This window comes from Homo sapiens, chromosome 3 (genome assembly GCF_000001405.40).
Source record: "Homo sapiens chromosome 3, GRCh38.p14 Primary Assembly".
Lineage (NCBI taxonomy): Eukaryota > Metazoa > Chordata > Mammalia > Primates > Hominidae > Homo > Homo sapiens.
This window is the reverse complement of record NC_000003.12, coordinates 58,296,811-58,323,782: the sequence shown is the minus strand read 5'-3', so window position 1 is coordinate 58,323,782 and position 26,972 is coordinate 58,296,811. Positions and strand designations below refer to the sequence as shown.

The following is a 26,972-nucleotide window of genomic DNA, read 5'->3' as shown; positions in this document are numbered from 1 at the left end:
GTATCTCTTTCTGTGACAATTAAACATCACACAATTTGCAGTCGTATAATACCCCTATGTACAAAGTGCTCGGTCAACTTGGCCTATTTTAGTCATTACTTTTGTACTTATTTCCATGTGTGACCTGGTACAGTCAAGGCCACTTCTCAATTATCTGGGAGAGAATTTCCTAATTTGAGGGTCACTCAGGCTTTCATTAAGAGTCATTCTTTTGAGCAGTTTGTATAGACTCAATGAAAAAGCCAAGCAACCAGTTTTCCTTATAGCCAGCTTTAACAAAGCACGTGTGGTTTGAGAATCTTGACTCTGGATAAAAATGACAAGTTACTAAAGAGAAGTACTGATAACTTCTTGTCTACTTCTCTGTTTCCAACCTTTATTGATTTATAGATTTCAAAGACCATGACTCAGGGAGCATAAAAATGTGGAACTCTGTATGCAGAGGCTCATTCCAGCATTTTGGGAGGCCAAAGCAGGAGTATCGCTTGAGACCAGGAGTTCGAGACAACCTGGGCGACACAGTGAGACCCACATCTCTATAAAAAATACATACATTTTAAAAAAGTGAACATGAAGGCTGAGCACAGTGGCTCATGCCTGTAATCCCAGCACTTTGGGAAGCCAAGGTGGGAGGATTGCTTGAGCCCAGGAGTTTGAGACTAGCCTGGGCAACAAAGTGAGACCTCATCTCTGCAAAAAATCAAAAAATAAGCCAGATATGGTGGTGTGCACCTCTGTTCTCTGCTATATAGGAGGCTGAGGCAGGATTGTGTAAGCCCAGGAGGTGCTGCAGTCATTGCACCACTGCAACTCCAGCCTGGGAGACAGAGTGAGACTCTGTCTCAGAAAACAAACAAAAAAAAAAACAGTGGAAATGCTCACATTGAGTAGCTACTTTTGAAAGTTACACAGTATAAATCAACTATCATTCAGATCTGACATCCCTTCCGTACCCTATATTTTTCATCTTTAACCCTTTAAGCCATTCTTCGGTGAAGACAAATAATCACTGAATGTCGGCTTAGAAAATGTGTAGGTGATATGCATGGGTGGAAGACTTTCAACTAATAGTATTAGGAAAACGCTACAACTCTAGCGGGGAATAAGATCTAGAACATTCCGAAAGCAAAAAGATTGCTATAGAATGATTCCAATTATTTTAATGCCATGTAAGATGCCATTATAGAAACTGACAGTGCTCCAGTTCCAGCAACACGAATGAGGGAAATAAAAATATTTCACCCCAAAATATATTTGTCATATTTTCAGATGGCTGTTCAGAGAGCCAAAAGAAGCAGCCCTGCAAAGCTGTCTTTTTTGGAGAAAACTTGCATTTGCAGAGAATCTGCTTGATGCAGCCAGGCCTTCCCTTGTCTGGATCTCGGGAAGATTAACTTAGTCTGACACTTTAAAGGTCTGAAACATGCTGGACATGGTGGCTCACATCTGTAATCCCAGCACTTTGGGAGGCCGAGGAGGCCAGATCACCTGAGGTCAGGAGTTCGAAACCAGCCTGGCCAACATGGTGAAACCCCATCTCCACTAAAAATACAAAATTTAGCTGGGCATGGTGGCACATGCCTGTAATCCCAGCTACTTGGGAGGCTGAGGCCAAGAGAATCGCTTGAACCCGGGAGGCGGAGGCCACAGTGAACCAAGATCGTGCCATTGCAATCCAGCCTGGGCAATAAGAGCGAGACTCTGTCTCATACAACAAAAAAGGTCTAAAACATTTACCATCTATTCTTTTGAGGGCTGCCACCTGTGGGGCTTCATTTACATAACAAGACCACCTTTGCTAGCCAGGCTTCCCCTTCTCCAGCTCCCCGAACATGTTATGCCACTGATCCGAGCCCACACTCTTTTTGTAACCTTTAGGTGGTATTTAAGCTTCTAAACCCTATTGGGTGGGGGTTTGGGGGGTAATCACTCTGTAGCTCTCCCCTTCATGCAAGCTAATATATTGGTATGCCTTTTCTCCAATTAATTTGCCTTTTCTCAGTTGATTTTTCAGTGAACCTTCAGAGGGCAAAGGGGAAGTTTCCCCTTGGTTCCTACAGGAACCTAAGACCCACAGAGTGATGGAAAAAGGAAAGGCTTTGGAGCCAGGCAGGCCCAAGTTTGAATCCCAGCTGTACTGCTTATTCGCTGAACAACCTTGGGCAAGTCAGTTATCCTACTTAAAAACAGGATAATGTTAACTTCACACAGTTGTTTCAAGGATTAGCATTAATGTAGAAAATCAACTCATCAGGCATTGAAAAAATGGTGGCTATCAGTATCAATGATCACATCCCAATCCAGTTATGGACCTAACTTTAAGACTGCTGCTAAATCCCAGGGAATGAGTTCTGCAGGAGCAAGCAGTCCTGGCCTCAAGTCCGTATATTTGTGCATGTTCCCCATTTTGTTTTGCCATTTGAACACATTTTCAGCATGTCTAGTGATTCACCTATAAATGTCTTCTTCAAGTGGATCTCAGCCTGCACATGCTGCACATTCTGAAACTCACAAGAACAGTATCCTTGCTCCCCACATTGATTTTGGTCTTGTCTTCCACCTTAGAAAACTAGTATATGGTATAATACAGTATTAAAGTTTTAAAGTACTAACTTTATACACAACACTGCCCTCTAGCGACTAGAATAATTTTTTTTTTTTTTGAGACGGAGTCTCGCTCTGTTGCCCAGGCTAGAGTGCAGGGGCACGATCTCAGCTCAATGCAACCTCCACCTCCCAGTTCAAGCAATCTTCCTGCCTCAGCCTCCGAGTAGCTGGGATTACAGGCACGCACCACCACACCCAGTTAATTTTTTTGTATTCTTAGTAGAGATGGGGTTTCATCATGATGGCCAGGATGGTCTCAATCTCTTGACCTCGACCTCGTGATCCGCCTGCCTTGGCCTCCCAAAGTGCTGAGAATTACAGGCATGAGCCACCACGCCTGGCCTAGAATAATTCTTTCTAGTTGTCTGTTCAGCTGCTCTCTGGGTAAAAATTAAAAATTCTGTCATAGATTGTCTTGAATGTGTTGGCTGACATTAGAGAAATGGAAATCATAACTACAATGAGATACCACCTCATGCCCAATAGTAATTTGAACAACAATTTGACAATTCTTTATAATATTAAAGTTACATGATCCAGCAATTCCACTCCTAGAATTTAAAACCTGTCGGCCAGGCGCAATGGCTAACGCCTGTAATCCCAGCACTTTGGGAGGCCGAGGCAGGCAGATCACGAGGTCAGGAGATCGAGACCATCCCGGTTAACACGGTGAAACCCCGTCTCTATTAAAAATACAAAAAATTAGCCGGGCGTGGTTGCAGGCGCCTGTAGTCCCAGCTACTTGGGAGGCTGAGGCAGGAGAATGGCCTGAACCCAGGAGGAGGAGCTTGCAGTGAGCTGGGATCGCACCACTGCACTCCAGCCTGGGCGACAGAGCAAGACTCCATCTCAAAAAAGAAAAAAAGAAAATATATATATATATATATATTTAAAACCTGTGCACATAAAAACCTCTTCTATAATGTTCATAACATTATTTTTAACAGCCCAAAAGCGAAAATAATCCAAATATCAACTGATGTATGGGTAAATACAATGGAATATTATTCAGCCATAAAATAAAATGATGTACTGATACATGCTGTAACATGGATGAACCCTGAAAACATGCTATATCAAAGAAGCCAGTTCCAAAGGATCATACATTGTATGAACTTTTATGAAATGTCCAGAACAGGGAAACCCATAGAGACAGAAAGTAGACTGGTGATTCCCAAAGACTGGAGGAGAGAAATGGATTGACTGCTAATGGGAGGTTCTTTTGGGGGTGATGAAAAATGCTATAAAAAATTGATTTGGTGATGGTTGTACAACTTTGTGGATATTCTGAAAACCACTAAACTGTACACTTTTAAAAGGTGAATTTTATGGTATGTGAATTATATCTCAATTTTATTAAAAAACGGGAAACAAAAAAAAATGGGAAACAAAAGTGTTGGCTGTGTTGGGATGGCCATTTAGTAGTAACATGTTAGGCACATCTCCCCTTCAATATAACCTCCCTGACCCCAGCCCCCAAAGTCTTAAGAATTTGGCCTCCATAATCTTCTTAATATTTATTTCTTACAATTTTTTTTTTTTTACTATAAGCATGTATTACTCATAATAATGGGAGGTAGATCCAAATTTTCAAGGAATAATCTGAACTTTTATAACAGAAACTGTACTTAAGAACACTAATAGAGGTTGGCTGACACCCTGAAAAACTGGTCTGTTACGTTTAACTGTGGGCCAGTCAGCTTCAAACTCAGGAAAACCTCTCACCTCAGTTGCAGGGGAAATGGGCAACAATAATAGTAGCTACTGCTGACAGGCTGGGCCCTGTGCTTAACTCCATCTATCATCTCCACCAACTATCCCACATGGCATGTGCTACCACTATTTTACAGATCAGACCGTTTACATAACTGAGACCGAGGATGCACATACGCCCCTCCCCTGAAACGCAAGTCTCACTGAAGGTAGACTAAGATGCCACCTTGGTGTAAATAACAAATTACAATAAACTCTGACTCAGATACTGAAGAACAGTCTAAAAATATTCATTGATAAAAGGTAGGTGTTCAAAGATGACCCAACTTCTATTTTCGCCTTCAATAATTGTTACACAGTTAAAATACAGTGACAAGCTGCTTCCACATGGCTATAGGTAGGGATTTGTTATCCAAATGCAAATCTATCTAGGTCTGAATTTCTAAAAGTAGAATCTTTTTTTTTTTTTTGAGGTGGAGTTTTGCTCTGTCACCCAGGCTGAAGTGCAGTGGTGTGATTTCAGCTCACTGCAACCTCCCAGGTTCAAGAGATTCTCCTGCCTCAGCCTCCCAAGTAGCTGGGATTACAGGTGCCCGCCACCATGCCCGGTTAGTTTTTGTATTTTTAGTAGAGATGGGGTTTCACATGTTGGCCAGGCTGGTCTTGAACTCCTGACCTCAAGTGATTCGCCTGCCTCAGCCTCCCAAAATGCTGGGATTACAGGCGTGAGCTGCCACGCCTGATTTAAAAGTAGAGTCTTTAAATAACCTTCCCAATACTTCTTTCTTGAGACAGGGTCTCGCTCTGTCACTCAGGCTACAGTGCAGTGGTGCAATCTCAGTTTCTCACCATAACCTCCAGCTCTCAGGCCCAAGCAATTCTCCCACCTCAGCCTCCCAAGCAACTGGGACTACAGGGCCAAGTCACCAAGCACAGCTAGTTGCACTTTTTTTTTTTTTTTTTTTTTGGTAGAGATGGGGTTTCACCATGTTGGCCAGGCTGGTCTTGGACTCCTGACCTCAAGTGATCCGCCTGCCGCAGCCTCCCAAAGTGCCAGGATTACAGGCATGAGCCACCGGGCCCAGCCTACTTCTTGAATTAAAAAACAAAAAACAAACAAAAAACCCAGGCAGATAATGAAATCCTGCATACACTCAAGTCTGCATGAAGCATAAGGCCAAACTGGAAAGTGGGCATTTGAACAACCCTCTTCCTGCTCCCTTCCCCTAACTAAGATGGGCTTCTGGGCCTATCAACCATTCTTTGGTAAAGAGCAGCAATTCCCCATAGGCTCTTTAACAACAGCATTGGTGTTTGAGGTTGCATCTTTAAAACATCTATTTCAGGATTTGGAAGCTTCTGGAACCATAACTTTAACCCAGCCTTCCATAACAGTCTTTTTACTTTCTATTACAGAACATGACACTGCAATAATAGCAATGAACCGCTTCAGCTTTTTCACTTCTGCAGAAGCTAAAACAACTTCTCCAATATATAAAGGGGCTGGAAAGCTAATTTCCTGGGAAAGAAATACACAGCCTGGCCCTGGCATTTTAGTTCCTAGGAGAGCTGAGATAAGTCCGTTGATCAAAACTCCATGTACAATTGTATTTCCAAACTTGGTGTGTTTTGCAAAGTCTTCATTCAAATGCAAAGGATTGACATCCCCTGTTAATTCTGAGAAGGTAGCCACATCAGTCTGTGTGAAGGCCCTCCTAAGTTCAGCGCGGTCTCCAACTTTGATGTGCATATGCTGAAAGTGCTGCAGGGTCAGCACTGGCAGGTTCAGACAGACTGTCCTCCGAAGCCCACCCCACCAAAGGTGATGGCTGGAAATTAGTGGGAACATCTTCAGCACCCTCAAATTTCATCAAGAGCTTTTAGCCTGCTTCAGTCTTCAAACATGCAGGCACCAAAAAATAAATATGAGAGTGGATGAACGTTTCCAAAATGGAAGACTATTCATTCAATCCAATACTAGTTCCCTACTATTACCAGATAATGCAAGAAGAAATGGAGAAACCTAGAAGAGAAAGAAAAAGGTTAAGGCATTGGGAGAAACCACACTGAAGCACAGGGCAATGGGGAAACATGCCCAGTTTTACAGGATAAACAAAGCTGATGCAGGAGCATTTTACAGAGCATCCTGAGAGGAAGCCTTCGATAACAAGTGGTCACATCTCAAAAAGAGCGTACCAATATATAACACACAAGGCATTAAGTGTTAAATAAAAAAAGTAAGCCTTAACCACAGGGTTGCAAGTTTTATCCCAAAACATCTCCCATAGATTTTAAAATCTAAGTGCTCTGTCTCACATTTTTGGAAACAATCAAGTCCTTTATTTTCCCCTACTTAGATCATTTTAACCATATTACATTTATGCAAGCACAAAAATGAGTTGTGTATATTAAGAAGCAGTTGACCCATCACTCAGTCTTGTTTGGAATATGTGAGGGAATAGTCTTTACCTGAATCACCCGGAAAGCACATTTTTTGCCTTTATAGGATCCTAACAGGGTCAAAGAGCTCCACAATTTGACAAGACCACTGCAGAAAGATCAAGAAAATACATAGTGTGTCATAGACAGAGAACAAAATGAACTTCAACTAAGGTTTCTAAAATATTCACTTCTGACTTTGCAACTATAACCATCAATGGGAAAACTACAGCTGTAACCAAATCGTAAGTTTTGCCCTCTCTAGAGTACAAGTTTCTGGTGGATGAATGTTCATATTCATCCCAGTTTAAATTCCCAAAAGCTGCTCAGAGTTCACAACAAAAAATTTATTCTCATTCTCAGAAGAGAGCATTTTTGCTCCATCGGTCTCTCTGCCCTGTTATACTAGAAATTTCCCACTCTCTGTCATACCTGCTACATATTCTCAAGATGGCTGACAAGGTCTTCTCTTCATAGGTTAGGATGTCCAAAGGTAAGGCGGCATCAACCTGCATATGGAATAATGCTATTAGCAGGCTATTCTCACCATTATTCTTGAATGCTTGTCAACTTTTGACAACAAATGAGTTTTGAGCTTTTCTCCTCCACATAAGCAGTATTTTATTTAATGGTGCTGGCACTTTAGTTGCCTACTTACAGCTCCCCCTGCCTAGAATGTTCTGCCTACACCTCTTCATATGGCTGATGTCTCTCATCCTTTGAGCCTTCATTTAAATTGTTCCTTGACTGATCTTCAAGATGAGACAAAGTCAGCTTGCTATGTTCTTTCTTGTACAGGACACCATACTTTCTCTTTCATAATTCCCTTTATTCTTGTCACTAATTGTCCAACATGTTTTCCTACTACAAGAACCAAGACATTAGTCCATGTGGCAGAGGCCATGTCTGTTTGTTTGCAGCTATATAAACCCCAGGAACGAGGTTTTCTACCTGACACACAGGTACACACAGGGATATTTTTTTTTAAAATTTTGTATTTAAAAAAATTATAGACTCACAAGAGATCACAAAGAAATGTACAGGGATTGGCCGGGCACAGTGGCTCACGCCTGTAATCCCGGCACTTTGGGAGGCCAAGGAGGGCGGATCACCTGAGGTTGGGAGTTTGAGACCAGCCTGATCAACACGGAGAAACCCCATTTTTACTAAAAATACAAAATTAGCCGGGTGTGGTGGCACATGCCTGTAATCCCAGCTACTTGCGAGGCTGAGGCAGGAGAATCGCTTGAACCTGGGAGGCGGAGGGTGCGGTGAGCCAAGATCGTGCCATTGCACTCCAGCCTGGGCAAGAAGAGCGAAACTCTGTTTCAAAAATAAATAAATAAATAAAAAAGAAATGTACAGGGAGGTTCATGCACTCTTCATCCAGCCTCCCACAATGTCAATGTCTTGCGTAACTACAGTACAGTAGCAAAACTACAAAACTGGTATTGGTACAAACCAGAGGTTATTCAGATTTTACCAATTGTATGTCTACTCCTATTTATACCTGTGTGTGGCTCTATGTAATTTTCCCACATAGGTAGCTTCATATAACTACCACCACAATCAATGATAAAGAACTGTACCATCATAAGACTCCCTTATTCTACCCTTTACAGCCACACCCACCCCTCCTCCCCTACTCCTCACCCCAGCAACCACTAACCTTTCTCCAGATTATATATAGTATTTCAAGAGTCTTCTATAAATGGAAACACCCAGTATGTCATGTTTTGGGATTGGCTTTTTTTCGCTCAGCATAATTCTCTGGAGATTCATTCATATTGTGTCTAAATAGGTCATTCCTTTTCACTGTCGAGTATATTCCATAGTAGGAATGTACCACAGTTTATTCACCCATTGAAGGATATATGGGGTGTTTTCAGTTTCATTGTTATTAAAAATAAAGCTGCTATGAATATTCATGTACAGGCTTTTGTGTGAACTTAAGTTTTCAGTCCTCTGGAACAGATGCCCAGGAGTGCTAATGCTGGGTTCTATGGCAGATGCACGTTTAGTTTGTTAAAGATACTGCTGGCCAGGCATGGTGGCTCACACCTGTAATCCCAGCACTTTGGGAGGCCAAGGCAGGCGGATCACAAGGTCAAGAGATTGAGACCATCCTGGTCAACATGGTGAAACCCCGTCTCCACTAAAAATACAAAAAAATTAGCTGGGTGTGGTGGTGTGTGCCTGTAGTCCTAGCTACTTGGGAGGCTGAGACAGGAGAATCGCCTGAACCTGGGAGGCGGAGGTTGCAGTGAGCCAAGATTGTGCCACTGCACTCCAGCCCGGTGACAGAACGAGACTCCATCTCAACAAAAAAAAAAAAAAAAAAAAAAAAATACTGCCAAACTATGTTCCAGAGTGGCTGCACCATTTTACATACTCACTGTAGTGTATGAGTGATCTAGTTTCTTTGCATTCTTGCTAGCACTTAGTGTTGTCATTTTTTATTTCAGTCATTCTGCTAGGTACACAGTGGTATCTCATTGTGTCATTAATGTGCATTTCCCTAATGGCTAATGTTAAACATCTTTCCATGTGCTTCTTTGCCAACCACACATTCTCTTTAGCAAAATGTCTGTTAATGTTTTTGCCCATTTTCTAATTGAATTGTTTGGTTGAGTTCTGATACTTCTTTTTTATTATTATTACTATTATTTTTTTGAGACAGAGTCTCTCTCTGTCACCCTGGCTGGAGTGCAGTGGTGTGATCTCAGCTCACTGCAACCTCCGCCTCCCAGGTTCAAGTGGTTCTCCTGCCTTAACCTCCCGAGTAGCTGGGGTTACAGGCATGTGCCACCACGCCCGGCTAGTTTTTATAGCTTTAGCAGAGACAGGGTTTTGCCATGTTGGCCAGGATGGTCTCAAACTCCTGACCTCAGGCAATCAACCCACCTCGGCCTCCCAAAGTGCTGGGATTACAGGCATGAGCCACCACGCCCCATGTGTTATTATTTTTGAGACATGGTCTTGTTCTGTTGACCAGGCTGCAGTGCAGTAGTGCAATCATAGTTTACCACAGCCAGCCTCAAACTCCTGGCCTCAAGCAATCTTCCTGCCCTGGCTTCCCAAAGTGTTGGGATTACGGGCATGAGCCACTGCACCAGGCCAAATGTCATTTATATATTCTAGACACTATAGTCCTTTGTTGGATACGTGGTTTACAAATATTTTCCCCCAGTGTGTAATTCATCTTTTCATCCTTTCCCACCCCTACCCCCAGCCATGGAGGTGTGATCACCACTCATTGCAACCTTGAGCTCTTGGGCTCAAGCAATCCTCCCACCTCAGCCTCCTGACTAGTTGGGACTATCAGTGCACACCACCACACCCAGCTCAATTTTTCAAATTGTTTTGTAGAGATGGGGTTTCACCAGATACCCAGGCTGGCCTGGAACTCCTGGGCTCAAGTGATCCACCCGCTTGGCCTCTCAAAAGTGGTGGGATTACAGCTGTGAGCCACTGCACCTGGCCCTTTCATCCTCTTAAGAGTCTTTTGCAGAGTAAAAGTTTTAAATTTTGATGAGGTACTTAGCATATTTTGATTTGACAGACTATATGAATCACAAAATAATTTCCTGAGCATCCTGTCTTCTTTCAACTTCTGAAACTCTACTTCTCTACTTCTGTTCTCAAAGTTGCTTAAAATGCTGGTCTATGACAAAATAATGAGTTGAATCAGAATATAAACCAATAGTATCATTAATCACCATGTTTAGTTCAGTTCATCTTTTTTTCATGAGGAGCCTTTTTTTTGAGACCGAGTCTCGCTCTGTCGCCCAGGCTGGAGTGCAGTGGCGTGATCTCGGCTCACTGCAAGCTCCACCTCCCGGGTTCATGCCATTCTCCTGCCTCAGCCTCCCGAGTAGCTGGGACTACAGGTGCCCGCCGCTGCGCCCGGCTTTTTGTGTTTTTAGTAGAGACAGGGTTTCACCGTGTTAGCCAGGATGGTCTTGATCGGCTGACCTTGGGATCTGCCTGCCTTGGCCTCCCAAAGTGCTAGGATTACAGGCGTGAGCTACCGTGCCCAGCCCTTTTTTTTTTTTTTTTTTTTGAGACAGAGTCTTGCTCTGTTGCCCAGGCTGGAATGCAGTGGCGTGATCTCTGCTCACTGCAACCTCTGCCTCCCAGGTTCAAGCAATTCTCCTGCCTCAGTCTTCCAAGTAGCTGGGACTACAAGCGTGCGCCACCATGCCCAGCTAATTTTTGTATTTTCAGTAGAGAAAGCGTTTCACCACGTTGGCCAGGCTAGTCTCAAACTCCTGACTGTAAGTGATCTGCTCATCTCAGCCTCCCGAAGAGCTGGGATTATAGGAGTGAGCCACTGCGCCTGGCCCATAAGGAGACTTTCTCATTAAAAGTGGTTCTGCTGCAAATTCCTTATCTCTTCAAGATGGGAAAAGAGTTTGCAGGTGCCAGTCTAGGCCACACTTTGAGTAGCACTGTGCTACAACAATCATTTGTCTAACGTGTTCCTTGTCAAACAGAAGGCATATTAGAATAAACCCAACAAAATTCATCACTTCTGAAAGTTTACTTCTGCAATTTCAAACACAGTTTTAAAATAATCTCTAGGGGAATACAAAAATTAGCTGGGCGTGGTGGCAGGTACCTGTAGTCTCAGCTACTCGGGAGGCTGAGGCAGGAGAATCACTTGAATCCGGGAGGGGCGGGGGGGGGTGCGGAGGTTGTGCCACTGCACTCCAGCCTGGGTGACAGAGCGAGACTCTGTCTCAAAAAATAAATAAATAAAAATAAAATAAAATAATCTCTAGGGGAACCCTCACACACTACTGGGAGGAATGTAAATGTACAACCACTGTGGAGAGCAGTATGGAGGTTTCCCAAAAAACTAAAAATAGGTCAGGTGCAGTGGCTCATGTCTGTAATCCCAGTGCTTTGGGAGGCCAAGGCAGGAGGATTGCTTGAGTCCAGGAGCCTGGGCAACATAGTGAGACCTTGCCTCTACAAGTAAAAAAATTGGCGTGGTGGCACACGCCTGTGGTCCCAGCTACTCGGGATACTGAGGTGGGAGAATCACTTGAGCTTGGGAGGTTGAGGCTGTAGTGAGCCATGACCATGCCACTGCACTCCACCCTGGGCATCACGGCAAGACTTCATCTCAAAAACAAAAAACAAAAGAAACTAAACTAAAAATAGAATACCATTTAATCCAGCAAGTCTACTACTGAGCATAAATCCAAGAGAAAGGAAATCAATTCAAAAAGACATGTGCAGCTGGGCATAGTGGCTCATGCTGTCATCCCAGCACTTTGGGAAGCCAAGGTGGGGAAAAAAAAAAAAAAGGACATATGCACTCTCATATTTATTGTATTCCCAATAGGCAAAATGTAGAACTTAAGTGCCCATCAATGGATAAAAAAAAAAAAGTGGTATATATTACAATGGAATATTATTCAGCCATAAAAAAGAATGAAATTCTGTCATTTGCAGCATCATGAATAGAACTGGAGGCCATTTTGTTAAGTGAAGCCAGCCAGGCACAGAAAGACAACTGTTGCATGTTCTCACTCATATGTGAGAGCTAAAAAAGCAGATCTTGCCAGGCACAGTGGCTCGTGCCTGTAATCCAGCACTTTGGGAGCCCAAGGCGCGTGGATCACCTGAGGTCAGGAGTTCAAGACCAGCCTGGCCAACATGACGAAACCCTGTCTCTAGTAAAAATACAAAAATTAGTTGGGCATGGTAGCGTGTGCCTGTAATCTCAGCTACCAGGGGGGCTAAGGCAGGAAGATCCCTTGAATCTGGGAGGCAGAGGCTGCAGTGAGCCAAGAATGTGCCATTGCACTCCAGCCTGGGCAACAAAGCAAGACTCCATCTCAAAGAAAAACAACAACAACAACAACAACAACAACAAAAAGTAGATTTCATGAGGATAGAAAGTAGATTGGTGATTATCAGAGGCTGGGAAGGGTAGGAGGGTAGAGAGGATGAAGGAGGAAAAAAAGGAATACAAATGTGTTTATTACAATAAATGAATAAAAATTTAAAAATACAGAGTTGTATAATTTATTTTTTTTTTTTTTTTGATGTTTGAAAAGCATTCTTTCTCGATTTTTTTTTTTGTGACAGAGTCTCGCTCTGTTGCCAGGCTGGAGTGCAGTGGCGTTATCTCGGCTCACTGCAACCTCTGCCTCCCGGGTTCAAGCAATTATCCTGCCTCAGCCTCCCGAGTAGCTGGGATTACAGGTGCCTGCCACCACACCCAGCTTATCTTTGCAGTTTTAGTACAGATGGGGTTTCACCATGTTGGCCAGGATGGTCTCGATCTCTTGACCTCATGATCTGCCCACCTCGGCCTCCAAAGTGCTGGGATTACAGGCGTGAGCTACCGCGCCCGGCCTCTTTCTGTATTTCTTACAAAGATCTTTGGAATGTTCAATCTACCAAGTGATTCCATACCTCCCCAAACAGGTCCTTCACAGCCGAAATAAGCAGCTGTTTGAACTGTGCAGCATTCAGTCCAACTCCACAATCTTGAAATTCTCTAAAAAAAGTGAAAAAAAAAAAAGTCATATTAAATTTCATTCTATTCAGATTCATGTTAGAAAAGTAATCTAAAATAGAACTTAGGAAACTAAACTTACAGGCAGACTTTCATGTAGTGGTACTCGGAAGGGTTTTTGTAAACTACTCTTTCATATGTGGCAGCAGGGGCAGGCATCTTTTCCAGTGCTGATCACACCTACAGTAAGTCAAGAGGGCTAGAAATGACCAATGCACATGCTATTTTTCAGAGTTTTGATGAGAATTTGGCCTATTTGGGTTTTTTTTGTTTGTTTGTTTTAAGGCAGGGTCTCACCCTGTCACCTAGGCTGAAGTGCAGTGGTACAATCAGAGTTCACTGCAGCCTCCACCTCTGGCTCTCGAGGCTCAGGTGATCCTCCTGCCTCAGACTCCTGAGTAGCTGGGAGTATAGGCACGTGCCACCACATCCAGCAGATTTTTGTATTTTTTGTAGAGACAGGGTTTCACCATGTTGCCCAGGCTGGTTTCAAACTCCTGGGCTCAAGCAATTTGCCCAACTCAGCCTCCCAAAGTGCTGGGATTACAAGTGTGAGCCACCAGGCCCGGCCTTCCTGTTATTATTATTTTTTTTTTGGAGAAGGAGTCTTGCTCTGTCGCCCAGGCTGGAGTGCAGTGGCACAATCTTGGCTCACTGCAACCTCTGCCTCGCGGATTCAAGCAATTCTCCTGCCTCAGCCTCCCGAGTAGCTGGGATTATAGGAATGTGCTACCACGCCCGGCTACCTTTTTTGTATTTTTAGTAGAGACAGGGTTTCACCATATTGGTCAGGCTGGTCTCGAACTCCTGACCTCGTGATACGCCTGCCTCGGCCTCCCAGAGTGCCGGTATTACAGGTGTGAGCCACTGTGCCTGGCCTCCTGTTTGGTTTTTAAGACTTCTGAGCACAGTAACTCATCTAATTCTGATCAAACTAAGGTTACCCATACGAATACAAAATAAGTTTCTATATTCTATAAATGTCAAATCACTGTACTCTTACTTAAAACATAACAACATAATTTTGGCTAACAATTTTCCTTATGAGCACCCAGCTCTTTGCTAAACATTTCACATGCCTTAGCTTGTCTTCAAAATGCTCCTGAGGTAAGAGGTATTATTATTCCCATTTTCGAGAAGATGACACAGAGGTTTAGTAAACGTAGGTAACATCTGCCCAAGGGTGCCCAGAGATTCCAACCACTCTGAGCCCACTCAAGACCAGTTACGATGCCTCTTTATCCAAAGAAAAAGAAAAGACATAAAGGAGTAAAATCTAAGATTTGAAGGTCCTCTTCTTGTTTACTCTCAGTCAACACAGAACACAAAGAGAAGAATGAGGGATGGTCGTTCTGCCGTCTCCTCCCATCCTGTGTCTGCCTGCTCTCAGTCCAAAAGCCAGGTCTGTGCAAGACTATCTGTGAACAACTGAGCTTAAACAGCACAGGGGTTGAGAAGAGGGATTCCTGGAAGGGGCACTCAATGCAGCTTCTAAAAGGTCTGAACTTTCAAGAACGTAGAACATGCTCATCTCTCTGTAGACAGTTCCTTTCCTTGGCTCCATGCCAACCTTGCTCTCCCTCTGGATAGGTCCTATTCATCCTTCAACTTTCAGTTTAAATACCACCTCTTCATGAAGGTCTTCTCTGACACCCTTCTCTAAGTTAAGCCCCCATGTTATGCAATCTCTTAACACTGTCTATTTGTTTAATATATGGATCCCCCACTACAGGGAACAGGAAACTGAGGCCCAATCAAGGAAAGGGACTTATCCAAGGTCACAGAGCTATGGACCAGCATTTCAAAACCACTCTGGGTTAGACCCAGTTCCAACCACTCCCAGATGATGACCTCTGGAGAAAAGAAGTCAGGGTCAAGGAGCTACATCTACCAATCCATTCAACAAACATTAATACTTTGGGGCCTGGCGTGGTGCTCATGCCTGTAATCTCAACAGTTTGGGAGGCCAGGAGTTTGAGACCAGCCTGGGAAACATAGTGAGACCCTGTCACTAAAAAAAAAAACAAAAAAACTTAAATTAACCAGGCATGGTAGTGTGTGCCTGTAGTCCCAGCTACTCCAGGGGCTGAGGTGGGAGGATAGCTTGAGTCTGGGAGGTTAAGGATACAGTGCACTGTGATTGTACCACTGCACTCCAGCCTGGGTGACAGAGCATGACCCTGTCTCCAAAACAAACAAACAAAAAATACTGTAATACTATGACACAAAGTAGGTATTCAAATGAGAGAAAAGTGATAGTGGTATAGGCCTATATATTCAAAAGAATCCTTGGTTTCAGGACAGCGGAAATAGTTACCTGATGCTTCTTTCCCAGTCACTAGAGTCTCCCCTAACTAGAAGGGCAGGGAGAACAAGAAACCTCATCTGTTTCTTTCATTGCTTGGCACATAAATGTTTTTTAGTGTTACTGCCTTGATGGAGCTGGCTGCCTAAAATAGGGGAGTGAAATTAGACCCAGGGCTTAGATGCCAGTAAAACGAAGACTTACACAACATTCACGAGATGGACAGTGGTGATGGCTGCACAGCGTTGTGAATGTACTCAATGCTACTTACGATAAATTTTATGTCACGTATTTTTTGCAATTAAAAAAAAAAAAAAAGACTTACAAATGACAGCACTGCCCTCTGCAGGCTGTTCTGACATTAAAGGAGAGGATACCTGGGAAATTATTTTGTACAGACTGGTATTAAATATATTCACCAGGCTCTCCACAGATGTGGGCTCACGAAGTTACTGTCATCGTCATCTTTAAAGTCAGTCTTGTTGTTTGTTTTGAGATGGAGTCTCACTCTGTCGCCCAGGCTGGAGTGCTTTGGGTCGAAGCAATTCTCGCTCCTCAGTCTCCTGAGTAGCTGGGATTACAGGCGTACGTCATCACGCCCAGCTAACTTTTGTATTTTTAGTACAAATGGGGTTTCGCCATGTTGGCCCAGGCTGGTCTCGAACTCCTGGCGTCAAGTGATCCGCCGACCTCGGCCCCCTCAAAGTGCTGGGATTACAGGCATGAGCCACCGCGCCCGGCCTAGAGTCAGCCTTTTTTAGTGGCTGCGCAGGGATGCTCCTAATCTGACCTATTAGTAATAAATCTGATTCTCCCTACTCCCCCGCTTCTCCATCCCTACGGCGGCCAGTGAGTCTATTAACATCTACTCAAGCTACATCATTCCTCTGCTCAAAATCTTGCTATGGTTCCCGTTTTATCCAGAGTAAGGCCAAAGTCCTTAGAGCAGCCTGCAAGGCTCTGCCTCACCTGCAGGACTGCTCCCTCTACACCTCTGACTTCATGTCCTGCCATTCTCCCTCCGCTCAATCCCCGCCACCACACAGGCCTAGCCTAGCTCTTTCTCACGCGCCAGTCTCGCTCCCACCGCTGGGCCTCGGCTCTAGCTTTTCCCCATGCTGGGAAAGATCTTCCTCCAGGCAGCCACCGGACTCACACCCTTGCCCCCTTCCTGGCTTAGCTCAAATCTCAATCGGGTTGGCCCAGTGCCCTTCTCGGCTAACACCGCACCCCACCCCCATGCCCCGTCCCTGCTTTCTTCTTCGTAGCATTTGCCTTTTTCTATGACAATTATGTAACTCGTTTATCTTTATCTGTACTTCCCCTCCCCACCCCAACAAAAGTCCACTCCAAGAATCTTGCTATCTTGTTCACTGCTGTTTCCCAAGGCCCTAAAACACTGGGTCGTGCACAGTGGGCGTGCGACGTACAATTTTTGGACTAAATCAATCACTTTAAAAAGCTCAATATCCTTACTGCTGAGCACTTGGGTGGCTTTCAATATTTTTCAACAACCACTATTTAGCGCTCACCTCGCGCCGGGCGCATGGAGAGCGCTCAGGACACGGTCCCGAAGTCTCGCCCGGGCCTCTCGGCCACGTTCTGCGGCCGAGACCCTACGCGGCGCCGTACAGAGGCCCTCAGCGCCCGGGGTCGGAGAGGACAAGCTACCCAAGGCGCACCGCCCGCCCCGCGCATGCGCCCGGGTCGCGGCCAACTGAGACGGCTCCCAGACAACCGCCGCTCTTTGGAAGGCTTCCACCTACCCACTCTTCGTCGGACTAGCCTGACGCCTGACCAGACTCCTATTCGCCGCAAGGACCCGCCAAGGCTTGGGGCTCCCCGGCAGCAGCCACAGCTGGGCCCGAGAAACTCCTGGTGTCTTTACGTTTGGCTTCTCCTCGTCCCGCCCCACGAAGCGTGACGCCCAGGCGGATATGACGTCACCACGCGGCGTCGTCCTAAGGACCCAGGCGCGAATCCTGATCCGGAGCTGAGAGCGGCCGAGCTCAGCGCCCTCTGGTGTCCACTCCGGGAAAGCCGTGTGTGCAATTTGCTTGGGGTGCGGTTTAGGGCGGGTTTTTTCCGCCTTGGACGGTGCTTCATAGTTATCCATTTCTTCATGCATTCATTCATTCATTCAACAATTTTTTCGTTGTTTTTTTGAGACAGTTTCACTCTGTCGCCCAGGCTGGAGTGCACTGGCGCGATCTGGCTTACTGCTACCTCCGCCTCCAGGGCTCAAGCGATTCTCCCACCTCAGCCTCCTGAGTAGCTAGGACTACAGGTATGCTCCACCATGCCTGGCTAATTTTTGTATTTTTAGTAGAGACGGGGTTTCACCATGTTGGCCAGGCTGGTCTCGAACTCCTCGCCTCAAGTGATCTGCCCACCTTGGCCTCCCAAAGTGCTGGGATTACAGACGTGAGCAACTGCGCCCGAGTCATTCTACACATTTTTTTCATTATATTATAATTTATTTATTGAGATGGAGTCTCGCTCTGTCGCCCAGGCTGGAGTGCAGTGGCGCCATCTTGGCTCACTGCACCCTCCGCCTCCCTTCAAGTGATTCTTCTGCCTCAGCCTCCCAAGTAGCTGGGACTACAGGCATGCACCACCATGCCCAGCTAATTTTTGTATTTTTAGTCGAGACGAGGTTTCACCATGTTGGCCAGCATGGTCTCAATCTCTTGACCTCGTGATCTGTCCACCTCGGCCTCCCAAAGTGTTGGGATTACAGGCGTGAGCCACCGCGCCTGGCCTAATTTTTGTATTTTTAGTAGAGACAGGGTTTCACTATGTTAGCCAAGCAGGTCTCAAACTCCTGACTTCAGGCAATCCACCCACCTCGCCTCCCAAAGTGTTGGGATTACAGACGTGAGCCACCGCGCCCAGCCTACAAAATTATATCTAGCATCTCCTCTCCTCAAGATCTCCTATGTCAAGCACTCCCCAAAGATAGGACCCACTCTCAGTGTCCCTTGTGACTCCCAGCACATAGTAGGTGTTCTATCTAGGCCGTCCTGGAAAGACCCACAAAGTAAAGACTTACTTTGTGCTAGGCACTATGCAAAATATTTTACATATGTCATCTCATGGAACCCTCACACAATCCTGAGATGGCTATTACTATGATCATCACCATTTTAGAGGTAGAAACTGAGGCACAGGCCAGGCGCAGTGGCTCATGCCTGTAATTCCAGCACTTTGGGAGGCTGAGGCGGGCAGATCACTTGAGGCCAGGAATTCGAGACCAGCCTGGCCAGCATGGTGAGACCCCCATCTCTACTGAAAATACAAAAATTAGCTGGGCACGGTGGTGCACACCTGTAATCCCAGTTACTCGGGAGGCTGAAGCAGGAGAATTGCTTGAACCTGGGAGGTAGAGGTTGCAGTAAGCCGAGATCACACCACTGCACTCTAGCCTGGCAACAGGAAAAGAAACTGAGGCACAGAGAGGCTAAGTTATTTGCTCAAGATCACAGTTATAAGCAGTGGCATGGGCTGTCTGATTCTAGCCAGTGCTCTCCATACTGCACTGTATTACCACCAATTGAGGGGCTGCAGTGGGAAGGGAAACTTTAGTGTAACCCCCATGAGGATGGGGCCTTGTCTGTGTTTCTCACCACTGCATCCCAGTTCCTGGTACCCAATGGTGACCCAACATCTATTTACTGAAGGCATTTGTTCATAAATGGATGTGCTGGTTTTGCTTGGGTTGGGGGGCAAAGGGTTGCCTTGCACAGGACAGTTGAGTCAGCGGGGATCTCCTTCCTCAATTATTTTCTCAAAATCCCACTGTGTTGTTTCCAGAAGCTTCAGTCCTCAACCTTGGCCATGCTCTCCAGTTCTGTGGTTCCTACTTTCTTCTTCCTTCAGAGGAGACAGGGCTTGTTCCAGATGTGGGAAGAGGTGGAGAAAGCAAACACAGACCCCACAGACCCAAGTATTATCTTTCTCAAAAAAGCTTGATTTCAGAAGCTGCCAGAACTTGCTTCAAATGCATCCTCTGCCACTTACCTACCTCCCTCATCTGTCACATGGAGAGATTATTAGCATCTACCTCACAGAGTTGAGGGAAAAAGAGTTGATGGTATAAAGTGTCTGGCACCCCAGGAAACCCTCAGTAATGGGAGAGGGTTCCTGTAAGCCAGCTGCCTGGCAAATGTATCCTGCCAGGTGGCCCAGGAAAACCAGAGCAATTCCTGTATTTTGAACTTCAAGGAACAATAGATAATTTTCACCCTGCTGCAACAAACCCTGAAAATGAAGTGTCTTCCCAGTTGCCTGAATTCTCTCATGCTGTCTTATTAATTCAGAGCGGAGGATAAAAGAGATGCCTTTGAATGATAAAGACAAAAAACTTGTTTTTTGGCTGGGTGTTGTGGCTCAGGCCTGTAATCCAGCACTTTAGGAGGCCGAGGTGGGCAGAACACCTGAGGTCAGGAGTTCAAGACCAGCCTGGCCAACATGGCGAAACCCTGTCTCTACTAAAAATACAAAAATTAGCTGGGTGTGATGGTGCGCACCTGTAATCCCAGCTACTCGGGAGGCTGAGGCAGGAGAATTGCTTGAACCCAGGAGGCAGAGGTTGCAGTAAGCTGAGATCACGCCACTGCACTCTAGCCGAGATGACAGAGCGAGACTCTGCCAACAAACAAAACAAAACAAAAAACAAAAAAAAACTTTTGTTTTTCAACTAAATTTTATATTAAAAAATCGTTTTTGGACAGTGTCTCACTGTCACCCAGACTGTAGTACAATAATGTGATCATGGGTCACTGTAGCCTCAACCTCCCAGGCTCAACCGATCCTCCCACCCCAGCCTCCCAAGTAGCTGGGACTACAGGTGCATGCCACCATGGCCAGCTAATTTTTAATTTTTTTGTAGAAACAGGGTCTCACCATGTTGCTCAGGCTGGTCTTGAACTCCTAGGCTCAAGCGATCCTTCTGCGTTGGCCTCCCAAAATGCTGGGATTACAGGTGTGAGGCACTGCACCATGCCTAAATTTTATCTTCTGAATAGGTACTGTAGGCTTACAGCATACATTTCAAATGACATAAAGGGATAGATATTAAAAAGTGAGTCTCCCTTCCACCTCTTCCCCTGTCAGCCTCTCCCCTCTCCAGGAGCAACAACTAGTATGAGTTTCTTAAGTGTCCCCTGAAAAATATGATATGGGGGCTTTTACCTCTTGACGATGTATCTAAAATTGCTCCAAATCAAAACACACAAGGCTGCCTCAGTCTTTTTTTCTTTTTTTTTTTGGAGACAGGGTCTTACTCTGTGGTCCAGGCTGGAGTACAGTGGTGCAAACATAGGTCACTGCAGCCTCAAACTCCTGGGCTCAAGTGATCCTCCTGCCTCAGCCTCCAGAGGAGCTGGGACTACAGGCATGTGTCACCACACCTGGCTAATTTTTTTGATTTTTATTTTTAGAGAGGGGATCTTGCTATGTTGCCCAGGTTAGCTGCCTCAGTCTTTATGAAAGTTACCCTGTACTGCATTGGGTGGAGCCAGTTAGTTCTTAAGAGGACCATTTCAGGTACCCTCTGTGTTTCAGAGCAAAGTTGTTGGGGTCGGTCTCTATTTTATGTCCCTGAAAGGTACGGCAGCCAAGAATGAGTTAAGTCCACACTTCCCCTCTGCTGTGTGGCTCCCCTCCCTGCCTTACTTATTGGTGCCAAATGGATTTTTCTAAAGCTGAGGAGCTTTCTCAACTTGGGGAAGAAAAGGCAAGAGAGAAGGGTCCAAGTGAGATTCCAGTCCCCCTGTTCTCCATTGATTTAATGGAAAACACCCCCTATGTCAGCAGATTGTGGAGATAGGACAAAGGAAGTGAAAATGATCAGAAGTTAAAACCTATGGAACTGTAGCCATTGTTTCTGTTTCGAGAATAAGATCACATAGTTTAGGGAGATTTGCCAAGTACCAGCTAACTTGCTCACATTATTCCATCAACCATGCAATGTCACTATAATTACCACTTTTCACAGATGAAGAAAATGAAGCTAAGTCATTTATCTAAGGTGGTGAGAGGCTCCAGAGCCTAAAAAGCTGCATTCCATCCCTCCCATGTGGAAGACCAGTCTGGGAGCTGCTCCTTTGAGGCAACTCAAGTGTCATCAACTCAAGCGTCATCTCCAAACAAGAAACTCTGAAAAGCAGGCAGTGCTTTAGAATCCCTAGAAGCCAAGCCTGAGAGAGAGACCCTCACGGAAGTGATTTACTGGGAGATGGCCCCCAAGTGAAATCTGTAAGGGAGGAGGGAAGCAAGATAGGGCAGGAGAAGAAGCCAAGCAAAGATGTGGATTTGAAACCGGTCCAATCATCCCACAGAACTGATGCTTACGGTTTCTTTTGAGTATATGTAGAGATTGACCTTCTCATCTTAAAATTTGAGAAGTTACATTTGTCTTATCTGAGTTCCTTTCTCAGTAAACCAACCATGAGGCTTCCCAGGTAGTATCAAGGAGCTGAAACTCACCAGATCACTGCATTTGGACAATGACAGTCCAGACCCTTCACCCTTCATGACTGCCTGTCTCCCACGACCTGCTTTCTGTTGACCAACTCCCCTTCCTTATCCTTCCCTGATTCCTGTTTTCCTGCATTTGTTATATTTCTGCTGTATAAACTCCTAATTTTAGTCAGTCAGGGAGATGGATTTGAGACTGATCTCCCATGTCCACAGCAGCAGCTCTCAAAGAAAGCCTTCTTCCCTGGCAATATTCATTGTTTCAGTGATTAGCTTTCTCTTTGGTGAGCAGCAGGACCTAGAAGCAACACTTGGTGTTTCAGTAACAGATTCAGCTGAGTCTAGCCTCAGCTGGATCCCATGGGGAGTCCTGGAGCATAAATGATACTAAGGAAGCTTCTAGGCTTTGAGGCAAGGGGGCCAAGCCTTCTATAGGTGTCATTGGCTGCTACCTATAGGGTTGCCAGATTTAGCAAATAAAAATATAGGATAGGCCAGGCACGGCGGCTCATGTCTGTAATCACAGTGCTTTTGGAGGCTGAGGCAGGAGGATTGCTTGAACCCAGGAGTTCTTACCCGTATGTATGTGTGCAAATGCACAGAAATCCCAGTGGACTGACTGATGGGGGAAGGGTGGGGCTGTGCAGAGGGTGTAAGAGACTTTCATTTTTTCAGCAATCTTTTTGTTTGATTTTTTTTTTTGAGACAGAGTTTTGTTCTTGTTGCCCAGGCTGGAGTGCAATGGCACAATCTCAGCTCACTGCAACTTCTGTCTCCCAGGTTCAAGCTATTCTCCTGCCTCAGCCTCCCAAGTAACTGGGATTACAGGCATGCACCATCACACGGGGCTAATTTGTTTTTTGTTTTTCGTTTTGTTTTGTTTTGTTTGAGTCGGAGTTTCGCTCTTGTTGCCCAGACTGGAGTGCAATGGCCCGATCTCTGCTCACCTCCACCTCCACCTCCTGGGTTCAAGCAATTCTCCTGCCTCAGCCTCCAGAGTAGCTGGGATTACAGGCATGCGCCACCACGCCTGGCTAATTTTGCATTTTTAGTAGAGACAGGGTTTCTCCATGTTGGTCAGGCTGGTCTTTAACTCCCAACCTCAGATGACCTGCCTGCCTCGGCCTCCCAAAGTGCTGGGATTACAGGAGTGAGCCACTGCGCCTGGCCTAATTTTGCATTTTTAGTAGAGACAGGGTTTCTCCATGTTGGTCAGGCTGGTCTTTAACTCCCGACCTCAGATGATCTGCCTGCCTCGGCCTCCCAAAGTGCTGGGATCAGGTGTGAGCCACCGTGCCCGGCTGTTTGATTTCTTTTAAAGTGACAGCATCATTTTGGTAACACTAATAATTATTAAATAAAAAATCAGGACCTGCTACTTACGTAGTTAGGCACAAGAGGGAGCTGTGGACCACACCTATCTTGTTTGTTTTTTCTCTGCAAAAACAAGCAAAAATACAGAATTCCCAGTTAAATTTGAGTTTCAGATAAACAATGAGTGGGACATCTTTATACTAAAAATGTATTTGTTGTTTATCTGAAATTAACATTTAACTGGGCATCCTGTATTTTATCTGGCAACACTTGGACATAAGAGGAGAAAAGGTATAGCTTCGCAGGCACCTCCAGTCATCTGAGGGTGGCTCAACTGGGCAGCCAACCCAGCAGGTGGGGGGTGGATGCAGCAGTCAGTAAAGGGGACCTGGGAAGGACATAAGCACACCCGTTTCGGGCAGGAACTCTGGGGGCAGTGCACCAGACAATGGTAAAAAAGACTAAAAGCCCTTTCCTAGACCATCAAAACCACCCCCATCACCCAGGGAACAGCAAGACAGCCTGGTCCCCTGCCCCAGCACCCACCCCTCTGCCAGCAGCTACTGGAGGACATCTTTTCTCCTTCAGTCATTCCCCTGCTTGTCTGGGGGTTATAGCTGGAGCCATGCTGTTTAACTTTGTCTCACCCAGCATTTCTGAACTGTATTTAAATGACGGAGGAAACTTTCCTTGGAAGTGATCTTAGAAATCTCCCTCCTAAAAAAATGGCTCCAGGGCCCCAGGAAGGGAGATTTTGGGGAGGGGATAACGACCCTGTAATAAAGCAGCCCGTTTCTGGAGGGGCCTTAAATCCTTTCTTCAAATTCAGAGACCTTCTCCTGGGGGTTCAAAGAGGTCCTTACAAAGAGATTTGTACCCCGTTTTCTCTGGAGGACTCTGCATCCCTGTTATAGGAACCTGAGGGCTCTGTGGGTTTGGACCTAGAAGAGCTCCAGGGAAAAGAGCAGGAGGAGTGGGCAACAGTAATGTCTAGCATAGCCCCAATTGTGTTATAAAAAAAAAATCCACAAAGCCAACCAGTTTTACACTGCTTACCCGTATGTATGTGTGCAAATGCACAGAAACCCCAATGGACTGACTGATGGGGGAAGGGTGGGGCTGTGCAGAGGGTGTAGGAGACTCTCCTTTTTTAAGCAATCTTTTTGTTTGATTTCTTTTAAAGTGACAGAGCATCATTTTGGTAACACTAATAATTATTAAATAAAAATCAGGACCTGCTACTTACATAGTTAGGCACAAGAGGGATCTATGGACCTATCTATATGCTGCGCCTTCCATGCTGGAAGAAAAAAATGCCTCCTCAGCCCACCCCCAAGGCAGGAGAGCCGGACCTAGAAAGCAGGCTCCCATCCCTTATCTGAAATCCTAAAAAAAAAAAACAACTGGAAACCAAGTATCTTCATCCAGCGCCAATGCTTAATCTGAACTAAGGTGAGGCTTACAGCTTTTGTCCCACTTACTGTGGCTACACATACATTGCATGGCAGAAATACAAATGCATTTATTTGACCATGTGTGGTGGCCCCAGACCCTGCAGAGGGCATCACATGATACATGGTATACACACTGTGATACCTTTCCAGGTCGAAACGCTTCTGAATTCAAATCACGTCTGGCCTGAGAGCTTTGGGGAGGGGTTGTCTTGGCAGCCACCTTTCCAGTTGTCCTTCAGGAAGTCACCTGCCCCCGACCCAGCCAGCTTTGGCCTTTGGTCATTGGAATTGTTACCCCCTTACTGCCCCTACGAACTCTTCCTTCTTCCACCCCCTGCTGCAGCTCCTGGTATGGCCTCAGATGCCTGTTCATTGCCTTGAGGATTTAAAGACCCTAAGATCCAGAAACCAATGAAGGGAAGGTTCCTCCAGGAGCCAAGAGAGAGGGACTGTCCTGTTGCTGAAAGGAGACCCGAGCAGTCACCTGTCCTCTCCCTCTGTCCCTCTGCCAGACTAGGCTGATGATGGTCACAAGACTCTCCTCCCACTGCCAGCACAGGCAACCCCAAGTCCACACCCTGGTTGGTACCAGCCCCAGGGAGCAAATACTGGGCCCCAGAGCCCTGCGGCAGCTGGGGACACCAGAAGAGCCAGCCCCAGGACTGTCACCTGGCAGGTAATTTGAGGATATCTCCACTGCCCTATCTGTGACCAGCCCCGTCCCTCTAAAAAAAACCCTCTACTTTTTTGTCTCCTTTCAGGAAATGGAGAAATTGCAAGAACAGCACCCAGTTTGGGGTTGGGGAGGGAGAAAAGGCTGATGAGAAGGTCCAGTCTGTGGTTGAAGGGTGATGCTGGAAGAGCTGAAAGGTGATGGCTCCTCCAAAGCAGAAGGCTGGGGCCTGCACGTGTTAAAATCTGCAGCCACCATTTTAGAACGGTGGTAGTTACCTAAGCAACCCATGGTCCTAAGAACAATATCCAGGGCTTGGAAAGTAAATAAGGGGGCCTACATTCAGCATTTATTATAAATATTAGACCCAAAATGTGTTTGAAGGCAGGTATAGCCCCTGGCCAGTAAGCAATCCCTTTAAAAGATGCCTGGGCAGACCCCAGCAGAGCTTCAGGGCTGGCTTCTGAAGCAGCAGCTAGGAGCAGTCACATTTGTTTTTCTTTTTTTTTTTTTTTTTTTTTTGAGACAGAGTCTTGCTGTGCTGCCCAGGCTGGAGTGCAGTGGCGCAATCTTGGCTCACTGCAACCTCCACCTCCCGGGTTCAAGCAATTCTTGTGCCTCAGCCTCCTGAGTAGTTGGGACTACAGGTGTGCACCAACATGCCTGGCAAACTTTTTGTATTTTTAGTAAAGAAGGGGTTTTGCCATGTTGGCCAGACTGGTCTTAAACTCCTGACTGCAGGTGATCCAGCCGCCTCAGCCTCCCAAAATTCTGGGATTACAGGCGTGAGCCACTGCACCTGGCCAGGCCACATCTCTTGACTGCTTTCCATGCCAGACCCCAGAGAGGCAATGAGACTGAGCCGAGACTTCTCCCAAAGGAGAATATTGTTGGGAACAAACAACACTCATATCCAGAGTATGGGGGCAGGGAGAGGATATCAGCAAGGTGAACGAGCCCTTCCAAAGTAGATGACACACCAGTCCTGGTTGTTAAAGAGGCTGGAGTGGAGAGGGCAAGCTGTCCCTGGATATGTCCTTAGCAGAATGATGTCGGAATTCAGGTGGGTTCTGTTTCCTGTCCAGCAGGAGGCTGGGCAGTTGGAAGTCCTTAACTATGATGAATGAACAACCGGGTGACCTTCTTCAATGGGGGCTCAAGCCAGGAAGGGTGGCCCCAGCAATCTACGGCTGAAGCTGCCACACACTGGCCTGGTCTGGGTGAGCCAATGGAGCCCCAGGTGGATTGGTAAGGTATGTGGGACAGCTCCTGCCTGAACAGGTAAAAGCATTGTTTTCACGTGTTACCATTACCTTTAGTTATATACCGAGAGGCTTCCCTCTCCTCATAAGCTGTGTGACCTTGGACAAAATACCACTCCATGCCTCGGTACCTCTGCTGAAAAACTGGCACAGTGTCATATGTACAGGGCTGCGTGAAAACACTTAGAAT

General features: G+C 45.8%; 2 protein-coding genes across 6 annotated transcripts, besides 5 other annotated features; both read right to left on the bottom strand.

Moving 5' to 3' along the window:
• Positions 1,039–1,800: an enhancer, noted in NCBI's record as "NANOG-H3K27ac hESC enhancer chr3:58307710-58308471 (GRCh37/hg19 assembly coordinates)". NCBI's record gives its function as "activates a minimal SCP1, AML or CMV promoter by ChIP-STARR-seq in primed H9 embryonic stem cells {active_cell/tissue: H9 hESC(primed)}" and the evidence as "EXISTENCE:reporter gene assay evidence [ECO:0000049][PMID:30033119]".
• On the bottom strand, positions 3,590–17,538 carry RPP14 (ribonuclease P/MRP subunit p14). Of its 2 annotated transcripts, none has more exons than NM_007042.6 (6): positions 17,366–17,538; positions 13,377–13,474; positions 13,192–13,276; positions 7,192–7,268; positions 6,790–6,868; positions 3,590–6,343 (listed from the first exon to the last, which is right to left on the bottom strand). In NM_007042.6, exons 2-6 carry the CDS (start codon positions 13,451–13,453, stop codon positions 6,287–6,289), a joined length of 375 nt encoding a protein of 124 aa, NP_008973.1. In that variant the 5' UTR covers positions 13,454–13,474; positions 17,366–17,538; the 3' UTR covers positions 3,590–6,286. The 2 variants fall into 2 exon arrangements, with proteins under 2 accessions (NP_008973.1, NP_001092253.1); NM_001098783.3 differs by lacking the exon at positions 17,366–17,538 and adding an exon at positions 17,132–17,263.
• Positions 3,590–17,538, bottom strand: HTD2 (hydroxyacyl-thioester dehydratase type 2). 4 transcript variants are annotated; one of them, NM_001348713.1, is made up of 6 exons: positions 17,366–17,538; positions 13,192–13,276; positions 7,964–8,061; positions 7,192–7,268; positions 6,790–6,868; positions 3,590–6,343 (listed from the first exon to the last, which is right to left on the bottom strand). In NM_001348713.1, exon 6 carries the CDS (start codon positions 6,167–6,169, stop codon positions 5,663–5,665), a length of 507 nt encoding a protein of 168 aa, NP_001335642.1. In that variant the 5' UTR covers positions 6,170–6,343; positions 6,790–6,868; positions 7,192–7,268; positions 7,964–8,061; positions 13,192–13,276; positions 17,366–17,538; the 3' UTR covers positions 3,590–5,662. The 4 variants fall into 4 exon arrangements, with proteins under 4 accessions (NP_001335642.1, NP_001335643.1, NP_001335641.1 ...); NM_001348714.1 differs by lacking the exon at positions 7,964–8,061; NM_001348712.2 differs by lacking the exons at positions 7,964–8,061; positions 17,366–17,538 and adding an exon at positions 17,132–17,263.
• Positions 10,958–11,459: an enhancer, noted in NCBI's record as "H3K4me1 hESC enhancer chr3:58298051-58298552 (GRCh37/hg19 assembly coordinates)". NCBI's record gives its function as "activates a minimal SCP1, AML or CMV promoter by ChIP-STARR-seq in primed H9 embryonic stem cells {active_cell/tissue: H9 hESC(primed)}" and the evidence as "EXISTENCE:reporter gene assay evidence [ECO:0000049][PMID:30033119]".
• Positions 16,973–17,102: an enhancer, noted in NCBI's record as "active region_20009". NCBI's record gives its function as "activates an Ori minimal core promoter by ATAC-STARR-seq in GM12878 lymphoblastoid cells {active_cell/tissue: GM12878}" and the evidence as "EXISTENCE:reporter gene assay evidence [ECO:0000049][PMID:35858748]".
• Positions 17,223–17,482: an enhancer, noted in NCBI's record as "active region_20008". NCBI's record gives its function as "activates an Ori minimal core promoter by ATAC-STARR-seq in GM12878 lymphoblastoid cells {active_cell/tissue: GM12878}" and the evidence as "EXISTENCE:reporter gene assay evidence [ECO:0000049][PMID:35858748]".
• Positions 17,673–17,752: an enhancer, noted in NCBI's record as "active region_20007". NCBI's record gives its function as "activates an Ori minimal core promoter by ATAC-STARR-seq in GM12878 lymphoblastoid cells {active_cell/tissue: GM12878}" and the evidence as "EXISTENCE:reporter gene assay evidence [ECO:0000049][PMID:35858748]".